The sequence below is a fragment of the Homo sapiens genome, chromosome 13 (assembly GCF_000001405.40).
Source record: "Homo sapiens chromosome 13, GRCh38.p14 Primary Assembly".
In the NCBI taxonomy this organism is placed as follows: domain Eukaryota; kingdom Metazoa; phylum Chordata; class Mammalia; order Primates; family Hominidae; genus Homo; species Homo sapiens.
Window position 1 is genome coordinate 41,767,186 of NC_000013.11, and position 14,978 is coordinate 41,782,163.

A 14,978-nucleotide genomic window follows, 5' to 3' on the forward strand; every position below is an offset into this window, starting at 1 on the left:
ACTCCCCACATTAATGTCATTAACAAATACCAATTACAATAAAAAATAACAAAATAAACCAATATTATGGTAAATCCAGAGAAATAAATTCCAATTGCTTTAAAAAAATCCCATCTAATGCTGAACCTTCTAATTCTTTGCTTAAATGCCTAAAAATACACTATACTATCCCTCTCAGGTGGGAATTTTTACCACCATCTGAGCTTAGATTTGCTCATTTGAATAGAGAGGCCTTAGACAAGCTAATCTCTAAATACTATTTTACAATGATATTCTTTGGTCTTATAACAAAATAAGAGATCACTGCTAATGATCACTGGAAATTTCTTATTTTCCAAATTCTCTCAATACATATACATTACTTTTGTAATCAGAAAAAAAATTATTAAAACTGAATAGTAAATAATCCTAAACAGTCATACAAATGGGTTCGTTGTAACGGTCAACAAACAGTAGTCAGAAGTCAGATTAGAAAACACACATTTCAATTACATTACTAGTTTGCATGACTCTAAAACACAACCCTTATAAACCTCCCTATCAAAATCATAACCTCCTTTTCACATGAAAATAATAATATCTACCTCCCTGCATTTTCCCTTTGAAATACTGTGTTGCTATAAATGGCAAAAATCCACTTTTGGGTAGTGTGGTCAGCTATTAGGTATAACCAAAGCAGTCACGACAAATATTGCAGGGGGCAAAAATCAATGTGTCTGCAGGAACAAAATACAGATTCAAAATAAATTCAAGAAAAAATATTCACTAAGAAACAATGGATAGACAAACTAAATTGGCAGAAAGAATGTGGCAGAATGCCAAAGAATTTCCACATTGTAAACTCAGGCAACTTCATTAACTAAGGGGTTTGAGAAGGAACAAAAAATAATTTAAAATAAAAATGAGTGCCACTGTATTTGATGAAACAAGTATTTCATAGCCTTGGGATCCCCAGGCTGCTGGAGCTATTAGACACTAAGTTATCAAATTCCCTGCTGCCACTACCAGCTGGGGGACACAGGCAAGACAATTTCTGGACAAACTGTTCAGTGCTTCTACAGATATTAAACAATTATGCTGTCATAGCAACATGGTATATTTCTGAGGGTGCACAGTAGCAATCTGCCAGGGCTTAGTTCAAATTATTAATTAGCAAAATTCATACATTCTTTAATTTTAGCAATAAAATATTCATGGTGTCTCAATATTAAATAATTCAACATTTACTAAACCTCTATCAGGAGAAAAATAGAATCTCTAATCACATTAAGTTTGTAATTAATAGAATGAGATACAAAGAATTAGTTAAAATGTTCATAGAGTCTTGCTTAGTTGGCATTAAACATATGTTTATTGATTTTCAGACTGTATAAAAGAGTTAAAAAATCAAATGCTATGAAACGCAGAGAAGAATGAATCATTTCTAGCCTGGAAAAAATTGAAATGGCATAATTTCATTGTATAAATTAATCAAGAAATTAAATTGGCCCAGTGAAAGTTACTTTTATAATATTTCCTCAATGGAAGTTCATCAATATTGGTATAATTCTGAATAAAAGGTTTATATTCAAAAATATGGGTCTATACTTCTTAGGATAAAGATGACAGGAGGGTACATCTTTCCTCTTTCAAAGAGACTTAGGAGGCACATCAACTAAATTCAATGACCAGGCTTTGTTTTGATGCTGACTAGAATAAATCAACTATAAAACAATGCCTTTTTTTTTTTTTTTTTTGAGACAGAATCTTGCTCTACTGCCCACGCTGGAGTTAGTGACCTAATCTTGGCTCACCGCAACCTGCACCTCCTGCGGTCAGGTGATCCTCCAACCTCAGCCTCCTGAGTAGCTGGGACTACAGGTGCATGCCACCATGCCCAGATAATTAATTTTGGTATTTTCCGTAGAGACAGTATTTTACTATATTGCCCAGGCTGGTCTGCAGCTTCTGGGATCAAGGCATCCGCCTACCTCGGACTCCCGAAGTGCTGGGATTACAGGTGTGAGCCATTGTACTCAGTCAAAGTAACACTTTGGAGATAACTGGGGAAAGCTGAAAACAGCATCAGATCATATGAAGGGATTATTGTTAATTTGTTAGGTGTAATAATAAAATTGTGGTCACATTAGAGCTAAATGGTGAAATATCTATAAGAAAAATGATATGCAAAAGAACAATATATTAAAAGATGACATACAAAAAAGTGTTGGGAGAATAGATAAAGCAAGATAGACAAAATGCTTATTAATCATTGAGGCTGGGTGATGAATACAAGGGGGTTCATTACGTACTCTACGTTGTGTGGAATATATAAAAAATTTCCCATAACAGAAACATTTTAAATGTCCTTTACTTAGTATGTAAAGTATAGTCTCTGGCCTATTATAAGCACTTAACAAAAGTTAGTTATTATATTATTGTTGTTGTTGTTGTTCTGCCTAGTACAGGAATTCGTGTGCTATGATGCAAAAAAGCATGAGCTTTGGAGATCTAATACCTAACTCTGACATTAACTAGCTATGTAATTTTGAGCAAATATTTTTACCTTTTTGAACTGGTCTGCTTATTCGTGAAAGGTGGAAAATAAAAATTTTTACCTCAAAAGGTTGATGTAGAACTAAATGAAATTATATAAAAGTACATTGAAAATTCTAAGACATACAAATATTACTATTTTTAATCTTAGTTCATAAGAAACTTTTAACCAATTATGGATGAAATCAAACACGGATCACAACAATTTTAAAAGACGATTGAATCAACATAGTGAGAAAATACTATAAAGTTCAGAAGAAAATAAGATTACTTCTTTTTTGGGAGAGACAAAGAAAGCCTCATAGAAGAAAAACATCTGAACTCTTGAAAGTCGGCAGAATTTTCACAGGCGAAGATGAGAGTAAGAGGCACCATATGAGGCAAACAACATGAAAAATGGGGAAGGGGATATTGCACTCAGGAAGTGTAAGAAATTGTAGTTTGAGGCCGGGCGCGGTGGCTCACGCCTGTAATCCCAGTACTTTGGGAGGCCGAGACGTGTGGATCATGAGGTCAGGAGACCATCCTGGCTAACACGATGAAACCCCAGATTACTAAAAATACAAAAAAATTAGCCAGGCGCGGTGGCGGGCGCCTGTAGTCCCAGCTACTCGGGAGGCTTAGGCAGGAGAATGGCGTGAACCCGGGAGGCAGAGCTTGCAGTGAGCCGAGATCGCGCCACTGCACTACAGCCTGGGCGACAGAGCGAGACTCCGTTTCAAAAAAAAAAAAAAAAAGAAAAGAAACTGTAGTTTGAAAGAACTAGAACTATAAAAGGAGTTTGGAGCCAGATTGTGGGTGGTTCTGAGTGTCTCTCTATGAAGGGGATTTTATCTGGTAGACAAGATAGAGCCACTTTCACCTTTTAGAATAAATAACATTAAGAGATTCTTTCTAGGATATCCCTCACTGCTGATAGATCAGAAGGTGTCATAGAATTGAAATGAGTACCTACAGACTCAGTAATGTAAAAACATGAAGAAAATGAAAATCAGGGATAGAGAAGGCATCCTGTATGAAAATCAGCCAGAATTGGCTTTTTATTTTATAAGAAATATATAATATATTGGAGTTTTAGTAAGGGCAAAAAATATGGATGGGAATACAAGAAAAGTTTCAGTATAAAAATTTTACCAGACTGTTATTTTGTAAAGTGATATAAAAAGCTGGCTTAAAATGACAAAAAAAAAAAAAAAAAAAAAGCTGACAAACCCTGGGAAGTGATTTTATTAGACAATAGTCATGTAGAAATGATTGTGAATTATTAATTATGCCTCATTAAATATAAATTAACTTTTGATGACTTACTTTGAAATTTTGTCTAATATCAGAAACCAAGTGATGTTATGATATGTAGATCAAATTTTTATTTCTAAAAACAAAACACTGAATATTTAAAAAATAATTCCTTTCTTTTTTTGAGATGGAGTCTCACTCTATCGCCCAGGCTAGAGTGCAGTGCTGTGATCTCGGCTCACTGCAACCTCCCCCTCCCAGGTTCAAACATTCCTCCTGTCTCAGCTTCCTAAGTAGCTGGGATTACAGACAAGTACCACCACATCCAGCTAATTTTTGTATTTTTAGTAGAGACAGAGTTTCACCATGTTGGCCAGGCTGGTCTCAAACTCCTGACCTCAGGTGATCCGCCCACCTTGGCCTCCCAAAGGGCTGGGATTACAGGCGTGAGCCACCTCGCCCAGCCTAAAAAATAATTCTTATGTAAGGATACTTGAACATTTCAGAACACAACATTCCTAAAATATGTTTTGCCTTCAAATATCTGATAAAGAGCAACTGTCTCTCAAAACACATGTATTCTTACACAAAAACAGAGACTCACTCTTAGGGACTTTTTTTTATTATTATTTTTATTTTTGAGACAGGGTCTTGCTCTGTCACCCAGGCTGGAGTGAAATGGAACAATCTCAGTTCACTGCAACTTCTGCCTCCCATACTCAAGCAATCCTTCTGCCTAAGCACCCTGAGTAGCTGGGACTACAGGTGCATGCCACCATGCCTGGCTAATTTTTTTTGTATTTTTTGTGGAGATGGGGTTTTGCCATATTGCCCGTGCTGGTCTCAAACTCTTGGACTCAAGCAATCCGCCCACCTTGGCCTCCCAAAATGCTGGGATTATAGGCATGAGCCACTGCACCCAGCAGGGACTTTTTTTTTTTTTTTTTTTTTGAGATGGAGTTTCACTTTCCTGGCCCAGGGTGGAGTGCAATGGCGCAATCTCAGCTCACCGCAACCTCTGCCTCCTGGGCTCAAGCGATTCTCCCGCCTCAGCCTCCTGAGTAGCTGGGATTACAGGCATGAACCACCACGCCTGGCTAATTTTGTATTTTTGGTAGAGACAGGGTTTCTCCATGTTGGTCAGGCTGGTCTCGGACTCCCTACCTCAGGTGATCCGCCCGCCTCGGCCTCCCAAAGTGCTGGGATTACAGGCGTGAGCCACTGCGCCCGGCCTCCGGCAGGGACTTTTTTAAACAAAAAGAAATATGGCACTTATGGCTGATTCTATAGCCCCCAATTTTCACAATAAATATTTTGTATATCAAATTGAATATGACACTATACATCAAAAGAAAACCAGGTCTGGGAAGGTGGGGAAGGCAGGAAACTTATTCTTGAGCTACAGCTGGCATAGAAAAAATATCACTGGTTAGAAAATAAATAGCCATCTCTCTTTTTGTTAATTGGAAAGTCATACTGTGACAAAAAAACAAAACAAAACAAACAAACAAAAAAAAAATCAGCATGAAGCTCCTAATAGTAATGAAAGGTACATATAATGTTATAATTACAGTAGGTAGAAAGTAATGCATGCTAAAGTGGTTCTATAATATTCAGCATTATACCCTAAGTGACCCTCAAACATGTGTATTTTCATGGTACTCTATCCCACTTGGCAGAAAGGCAGCAGTTCTGCTGCACTTACTGGAAAGACTATGTGCTGTGTCATAAAATCTCACACAGAAAATAGGATTTTTAAAAATCAATTTTATTATAAATAAGGGGCAGGCTACTTTATTTTACTATGACAAGTGGTGCTTGTATTTAGCTTCCCAACAGATGTAAAATCTTTTCTAGTATCATAGATTCTTAGAAAAGATAGTATCTGCAAGAAAAAGGTGAAATTGGGTTTAGTAAAGATGTTAAACCTTCAGATACCTCAAAATCAGCACCCATTTTCTTTAATTTCCTCATTGTAAAAGTTGCCACTGGTAACAGAGCAGTCTTGTAAAACATCTCTAGATATAATTTCAAGTGTTGAAACATTTCTTTCATAGAGTTCAGCCAGTTTCTGGTTTGCAAACAGAAGGCTGTGTAGACTGCATATATCTGTAGACAATGCTTTAGAAGGAGAAAGAAAGGAGACTGAACAATTGCTACACATGATTCATTTACTTTAAAAATAAGTTATGTGATTAAAATAGGCATTTTCACAGGGGACTGTCACTTTGCATTTGACTGAAAACACCAGTGACACTACCCCAGGAGAGCTGAGAGTCAATTGTCCTCCACCTATTATCTGCACCTTTATTTGCCTGTCTTGATCTTCTTTGATTGTCTTGTTTCAGAAGATGGAAATAAGGGTGAAGGTGAGCAGGTGCATCAAATATGAAGAAAAGCATGAAATACCATTGACCAATGAAACAAGGCATTTTTTAAAACTACTGAAGAAGGACCTGAGTTACTATCACTGCAAAAATATACATTCCCAAATATATAACTCTCCTAGATGATCAGCACTCAGAACAGCACAGAGAAAGAGAACACAAACTCTATGCCAGTCCTTAGCAAAGCACAGTTCTGTGGGGTACTGCATTAGTCAAGGAATACTACAGGTGGCTCTGTACTCCCTCGTACCCACCAAACAGAAGCAGCTAAGAGTCTAACCATAGAATCTTGCCCAGATCTTAGCACAGATGTTACCTTATGAAAACACATTAGAAAGGAATTGAAGTTGGCTAAAGGATTCAAACAGTTCTATTTAGATTTTAACCAGCTGCCTTGGTCCAATTTCCACCCCTTGACCTGGTAAATGCAAGCACAGGCAAAGTTATGTATGATTTAATTAGCTAAATACTAATCAGCACTTTATTATTAGAAATTTAAAAATAATTAGCATTTCATTATTCTGTCTTAGTGATAATGCTGCCAGTCTCTGATCCTGTCATTATAGAACTATATCCAGTTGAATGGGCTACTTAACTATTTACTCTCTTGAGTAGGTAGTCCCTAGATTTTATCTAATTCATTAGTCTCCTTCACTTAAACAGCTGCAAGCTCAGAGAAAAAGACATTTCAATTTGTCTTATAGCCCCCTGAAAACAATCCAACTAAGCCTAAATTTTAAATTCATATTACTTCTAAATCATTTTGGCTACTCATTAGGAATTTATTTATTTATTTATTTATTATTATTTTTTTGATATGGAGTCTCGCTCTATCTCCCAGGCTGGAGTGCAGTGGCACGATCTCAGCTCACTGCAGCCTCCGTCTCCCAGGTTCAAGCGATTCTCCTGTCTCAGCCTCCGAAGTAGATGGGACTGCAAGCGCATGCCACTTCACCTGGCTAATTTTTGTATTTTTTAAAGTAGAGACAGGGTTTTGCCATGTTGGCCAGGCTGGTCTCAAACTCCTGGCCTCAACTGATCCACTCACCTTGGCCTCCCAAAGTGCTGGGATTACAGGCATGAGCCACTGCACCCAGCCAGGAATTTATTTCAGATAGTCCTTTAAAATCTACTAATTAACTCAGCAAGTATTTGTTGAATGTCTACGGTATGCAAGGCATCAGGGAGACACAAAAATAATGAAGACTCTTTATCTCTTTTTCATAGAGATGGTGGGTAAATACATAAATCTAACTAAATCCCAAAAGAAATCTGTAAGTGACCTATCACACTTCAGAGAGTGCAGTCAAGCCTTCAAGCCATAGCATTCACAAGCACTTTATTAAAGAAGCATATTCTAGAATATTACAGCCAGAAAGACCCTAGAAAATATCCATGCCAAGCCTATAATTTTATAGATAAGAAAAAAGAAAAGGCCCTAATTAGAAGGAATAACTATTTACTCAGTATCACATATCAGTTGATATCACACATATCAATTTACTCACTAACAATTTACTCAACTATCACAGAGAGTTAAAAAATCTGAAAAGGAAGGAAGGTCTTTGGGTACCCAGCTTATTACTTTTCCATGATGCCACATTGCCACTCTGAGGTTAAGAGAATGTGAATGGGCAAAGGTAAGAGAAAGAAGAGAGCATGCTGGCAAAGATTAGAGGTTGAAATATAACACTGATAAGAAGGTATGTTTGGGAAACAGAGTATTTAATTTGTCTGAGGAAAAAAAGCATTTACAGGGAGAAACCAGACACCAGGCTGAAAGCAGAGCAGGATTAGATCATGGAGGACATCAAATGACAGTCTAAGAGAGTTAGACTTTTTCACTATATAATATAATGAACATAGGTAGCAGAATTTACTTCCAAAAAAACATTCCTTCAACATTGGTATTATAATATAACACTGATGGTCTTAGAGGTTTATAATCAAAGAACAGAAAACTCTTTTGATATGAAAAGGGTCAGCTAAACATAGCAAATTATACTGAATACAATCTCCCTTTGTAATTTCTTCTTTCTCCAAAGTGGAGAGTGGCAGGATAAGAGTACAAGATGGCAAGACAGTGTGATCTGCTGACCACAGATGGCTTTTGCAAAATAACTGATAAATGAAAGTTTGTGCCAACCCGTGGCTCCTGCCTTGCTCTTCGTGGGGATCTTCAACTTGAAGGCTCTATCTAGCTGAATCCTGAACCAGTCCTAGACAGGCTTGAAAATCAGTGGGCTTGACCATCCTTATCAGATGCTGGAGTCCAACCATCTACCTATGGAGCTGTAGCTGCCCTTCCCTCCACCCCGCTGCCTAGCTCTTTGCTCTAATGCCTTGTTCCTTTCTTTAGGACTGGAAACAAAAGAGAGATAGCATATTAGATTTTATGCCAAGGTTTGTATAGCACCCTAGGACAATTCCAAAACACTTTCACAGTCTCTGCTTCATTCATCATAAAGCAGAGGCAAACCTCTGTTCTACTTCACCCTTCACTCTGAATAGCTCTCCCCAATCCTCCAGAGGTTAAAACATTCTTCCTGTCTCTCTGGTTACTGGCTAGGCATTAACTTCAACCTTTTAAACTAGAAGACCCTCCTGAAACTCTAATCTATTACCTGCTCAATTGCAAGTGCTACCTTTGCCAAGAAACCAACTGCATCTAACCCACCAAACCCTCAGGATAGCAATACCATGACAGAGATTTCAAAACCACTTGGACTCCATACCTTGACCTCTAGGGATCTTCCTTTTAAAAACCTGCACCTTAGAAAAATTATTCCTCAAGCCCCAGTTCTGTATAGTCTTGGTCTATTCTCTTCTCCATGCTGGTCTGCCGCTGCTGGGATGCCAAAAGCCTCTGTGTCTCTGGCCATTCAGGTGATGGCAGAAGTTCTGAAAAGGACACACTGAGTGCACCAAGGTTTAACTTATAAAGAGTTTGTGAAACTCTTATAAAAAATTTACAAAGTACTTTGGGCTATATACAACCTGAATGTCCACAGAGCCATTGTTTTTCAAAGTGTGATGAGAATGTGACTTCCTGGGTTTCAATATCAAGAGCCAAATTCTGACTGTTAACTGATCTTCATCTTCCCACTCTGGTATATAGGTTCATCTTTTACTGTTCAGTGAAGAAAAATAGGTAGGACTTTTCAAATAGTGGGAATTAAAGGGTCATAAATAATTTATTGTTCTAGTTTTAATTCTTGTTTTAAAAAATGAAACAAGAGAATATTACTTTTAAACTATACAGTGATACAGAGGTATTTAGCTGACAGAACTGAGCACTGTGTGAAGCACTTCCCACGCATTATCTCATGACATCCTTACGTTAGCCCAAAGGGACCATACTATTTTTATTCCCAGGTTAGACATCAAGAAACTGAGCCTTAGTAAGATAAGCAATTTGCCCAAAGTCACACAACCATATGTGGAAGAGTTGCTGTTGAGCCTCTAGTTATCTAATTTCTAAGCCTATGCACTCAAATCAATAAAGCACACAACTGGCCCATTTTTACTTTTATTTTTAAATCAGTACTTCAAAATGATAAGTTTGAGAGGCTAAATATATAAAGAATATGTATTATTTTTATAAATACAAAAAAGAAGAAAAAATAGAAACCAAACTTTAGAAGCTTTGTTACCCTTAATTTAAGACCAATTTAAAAAACCAAAAGTGCTGTTCACTGTGAGCCTGAAAATTCAATAGAGGAAAATTATCAGGACCCTGTAAACCTAAAATTTTCATACGTTCCTCCATAAACATACATTGAGTGTCTACTATGTAACAGGTACCATGCTAGGAGCTGAGAACAGAGATAAATAAGAAAAACACAGTCCCTGCTCTCAAGGGACATATAGACAAGTTGCAAAGACAGTCATATGGTATGACTAGTATGACAAAAGGGAGATAAAAGGGAGTAGAAGCAGGAAAAACCTATTCAGCCAGGGACAAGGGAAGGTCTCTCTTCCATGAGTTAAAGGGAGGGTATATGGGAAGGGGACAGGAAGTTCTCCCTGCAGAAGGAAGAGCATGTACTGAGGACCAGAGCAGAGATAAGTAACTGAATAGATAAGGAACTGCAGAGTGCCTCAAGCCAACACAGTGAGAGAAAGAAGGGGCCATGGCTTAGGAATAGAGGGGTGGGCAGAGAGTGAATCCTGTACACTGTACTGAAGACTCAGACTATACCTAACAGAAATGGGGAGCCAATTTCAGCAAAAAAGAGAGGCTCAATCAGATTTTAGTTTTACAAGTATCAATCTGACAACAGATACTACAGAATGGAGAGTAGATAAGAATGGGCATAAGGTGGGGATGGAGCTATCATAGGAAACTACTGCTGCAATCCAGGTGACAGGTGAAGATCACTGGGGCTAGAGTGACAGATGTGGACAAGAAGAGTAGATACTTATAAGACAGAATGTACATAACTTGATGAGGGACAGAATGGAGCATGATTTAAACCTTGAGGTAATTTTGAAGTTTAGAAGGTAGCAGAGTCTCATCCTTTAATTAAACCAGTCATTTAATAGGGGAAAAAATAACTGATTCCAACAAGAAGAAACTTACTGCTTTTAAATTGTTACTATCATTTTTTCATTGGTACCTAGATTTTAGCCATAACTCACCTGGTTGCCAACCAATAATAAGTGTTCTCCAAGGAGAAAGTCTTTCAGCATATCTTCCATCACTATCACATGCTAGAGAAAAAGGAACTAGGGGTTAACTGTTTTGTACAATCAAGGTTAAATAAGAAAGTTAACTATAAAGATATCTTTATAGAATATAAATATCTATTATAATAAACAATTATCAATCGATTTGATATAACCCAAAATTAAATCTGTGGTTATAAGTAAATTATATAACCATTTAGGTCACTGATACTGAAAACTTGAAATAGTCCACCTGAGCAAAACTAAGCAACTGACCAACATTTCAGAGTTTTTAATAATTCAACTCAAATATTTTTTTACCTATTATACTATGTAGAGTTGGCTTATAATTTAATATTTAAATTGATACTTGCTAATGTAAATATACAAAGGCTTCCTAAAATAACTGTACACTTCTAGGGAACATTTTACATTGACTTGTTCTTAACCATTACCTTTAAAGCTATGGATAGCTTCAGAATTAAAAATATATTATTTACCTTCCACACTTTTTAATTTGAATTATGACACAATATAATAACAGAACAAGATTAAGGTTGTTCACAATAGCCACAGAGGAAATTACATTGCTCTTTTGTATCTTGAAAAATAAGACACCTGTAAGTAGGTCATGCGGGTTCTTTAGGGCTGGGAAGAGATCTACACTCCAGCACAATTAATATTCCTATTACTTTCTCTTGGTTTTCTGTATCAAATAGCAGCTAAATAAGTACTAAAGTTATTGACGTTCCCTATTTGTAAAAAGGCAAATTAACCTTTTGCATCCAACACATGCTGCAGATATTTTTCCAGTACGTCACTTTTTTTTTTTTTTTTTTTTTTTTTTTGAGGCGGAGTCTTACTCTATCGCCCAGGCTGGAGTGCAGTGGCGCGATCTCGGCTCACTGCAAGCTCCGCCTCCTGGGTTAACGCCATTCTCTTGCCTCAGCCTCCCGAGTAGCTGGGACTACAGGTGCCTGCCACCACGCCCGGCTAATTTTTTGCATTTTTGGTAGAGACAGGGTTTCACCGTGTTAGCCAGGATGGTCTTGATCTCCTGACCTCGTGATCTGCCTGCCTCGGCCTCCCAAAGTGCTGGGATTACAGGCGTGAGCCACCGCACCTGGCTGCTTTCTTTTTTCAATTTCGTTTATGGTGCTTTATATCTATATTGTATAATATACATATAAATTATATATAATATATAGATATAAAAATATATAAATATATATGATATAAATATTAAAATATACATATACATACTCACAGAAATTTTTCTTTTTACTTGTCAAATTTAATAGTATTTTCTTTCAGTTTCTTCCTTAGAAGAAAAACTGAGAAAGTGTTTTATCTCCTTCAGGAACAAATGAGTATTCCCTATGTTTATCTTGGTCGTTTTTATTTTCAAAAATGCTTTCAGATATGCCATGGAGCTAGAGTTTTAATAAGGCTTGAAGTGAGGTGAGTATATAATTGTCTATTCTTGAATACTTTTAAATGGATATAAGGTGTATGCTTTTAAGAATAAAAAGAGACACTATTAATAATTATGCTGGGACAACAAGTATAAGCAGAAACTATGTTAAGCAAACCAAGATATACATCATTTTAAGCTGAGTTCTGGTGGGAATATAGCATGGAGACCTCTTCCTTTTCACTAAGATGAAAAGTCAGTGCCAATTCCAGAAAACACTAAGCTCTTCCAGTAATAAATGGGCTAATCTACGTTGAAAAGTTGGAGTAAGTACCTGAATAGCCAAAGAAAAAAGCAATGTAAATATCGAAAAATAATCCAAACTATATCTGTGTTCTTCTTTACAATTCTCATGTCCTTCTACTTCATGCCCTCATTATATCTAACTAGATTATTCAAGTCAACAAACCTTAGCTAAGGCTAAAGTCACCGCCAATACAATTCTCTTCTTAGCCTCTTGACCACTTAGTACTGCAGACAATTTCTTAAAAGTCTCCTCTCCCAGTTACCCATTTCCCCTGATTCCTTCCTACCTCCCTAACAATTTCTCCCATAGTTTTCTGAGCTGGATCTTCCTGTAGCAATTCCTTCCTTCTACCTTCTTACATGCTTCCCCTTGTATTCATGGTATGGGGCAGGTTGTGACTATCTGTACCCAGGCACCCACCTGAGGGTTGAGGGAGGGCTGTGTGCAGAGTTGGATACCCACATGTCAGCATTCAAAGACCCACTTCTGACCCTGCTCTCCTTAAATCCTCTCATCTATCTCATGGCTTCAATGACCAGCTCTACACCAATCTTCAACAGCAAAACTCCTCCTCAACTACAGCCCTCTATTTCTGAGTGATCAAACCACTTTGTTATTCCCCAGTCACCTAAATTCAACACATCTAAAACTCAACTTATTACTTTCTCCTGAACTTCATTCTTTATCCTGTATCTTTTTCTCCAGTTAATGGCACCATTTTCTACCAGCTGACCAAACTCCTATTATCATCACCCTGCCCTCCTTATTCCTCTCTTATCAACATCCAACTAAACAGCACCTGAATTGTTAAGCCACCAAAAATCAACTGCATCTACCCTTTCTTTTCCATCCCCACAGTTTCAAGGTTTTTATCATCTCTAGCCTAGATTTGTATCAGCTAATTAGCTTCTCTAACTTCAGTCTCTCCTTGAGCCAATGTGTTCTTACAGTACTGACACTTCTTTGTTCAAAATCTTGTCACCTCATTTCTCAAAATTCCTTAAATGACTCCTAATACTTTAGGAACAAAGGTCATTGCTTACATTCTTGATCTAGTCTCAGCCTCATCTCCTACCACTCTCCTTTTATACTGTGTTTCCAACCATGGGCACGATTTAGAATAATGTTCTGTTTACTCTTCTGTTTACTTTTTCACCAGACATTGTGCTCCCTGAGAAAGAATCTCTGCTGTTCATCTAACACAAAGTTCCACTGACTTGATCTCCTTAATAGCCCTGGAATGTGTCCTCTCCACTCTGTCCCCACTGTCACCTCTTTAGTTCAGATCCTTCATAAATTTCATCTGGACTACCGCAATAACCACCTAACTAGTTTCTCTTTGCCTTAGTTCTAACTCCTAGACAATACTAAAGAGTAAAAGCTAAGTTAGCCAAAGTACAAATGTGCTTAAAATCTTTCAATAACTTCCTCATTCTTCTGAACAGAATCCAAATTCCTTAACTACCAAGACTGAAAAGATCTCACTCTTTCCTAATTCACCAGCCTCTTCTCTTGGCACTCTTCCACTTGCAACCTCAGCTTCATACCAGTGACAACAATTTATATATAGCTCCCTAAATGAGCTATTGTCTCATATAACTAAGTCTCTGCTAATGCTAGTCTCGTTGCCTGAGAGACTCTTCTAATTGGGTCTGGTTGACCAATTTTCTATGATCATTCCAATCTGGGTCAATCGACCTCATCAATGCCACCATAAGTAAACTGCACATACTTCCACCACACTGTGTAGTAACTATGTGTACTTACTTGCAGATTAAGAACAACTTGAGCCCTAGAGCTGCGTATACTTGTGTGTGTATTTTAATCTCTGTATCCCAATACCTTAGGACAAGGCCAGACTCATAATGGGTATTTTTAAATTCTTACCCATCTAAAACTCCTTAGGCTTATTAAGAGGCTATTATTTCTCTTTCCTCCAACTTCTCCTCCTTACTGCTGCAAATGTAATATTCCTTAATGGAAGGCTTAATGAAGTAATACTCTTTATCAAGAACATTCAAAATCTTACTCATTCTTTTATTAATCCACTAAACACATATTTACTTGGCAGTTACTATGTGCCAGGCACTTTACTATTTGCTGGAAATATTAAATAAAGAAAACATAGGGCTGTGCCTTAGTGATATGGAAAACACGTTTTAAAAGTCCATTTCAACACAATGTGGTAAGGACACAACAGGGCATAGGACAACAAGATGATACAGAAGCACCTAAATCTGCAAGAGGCACTGACTACGGCTTCAAAGATGAAGTACAGCATAAAAGGAAGTAATAATATACACAATGGAAGCAAATTTAATCAAGCTACTGTCCGTACAATTGGTACAGCTAAAAAGTTTTCATTAATGGCTAATTCATAATGCTTTAAGAAGAGAAGGTACGTTTGGAGACAGCTTAAGAAAAGTCCCTC

The 14,978-nt window shown here is 37.3% G+C and overlaps 1 protein-coding gene across 2 annotated transcripts in view; it reads right to left on the reverse strand.

Annotated features, from left to right (window-relative positions):
- Window positions 1-14,978, reverse strand: part of VWA8 (von Willebrand factor A domain containing 8) — a 394,275-nt gene that overhangs the window by 200,351 nt on the left and 178,946 nt on the right. For both annotated transcript variants that reach the window (NM_015058.2, NM_001009814.2), the window contains exon 20: window positions 10,800-10,871. In NM_015058.2, coding sequence (NP_055873.1) covers window positions 10,800-10,871 — 72 coding nt within the window. The remainder of the gene's footprint in view (window positions 1-10,799; window positions 10,872-14,978) is intronic.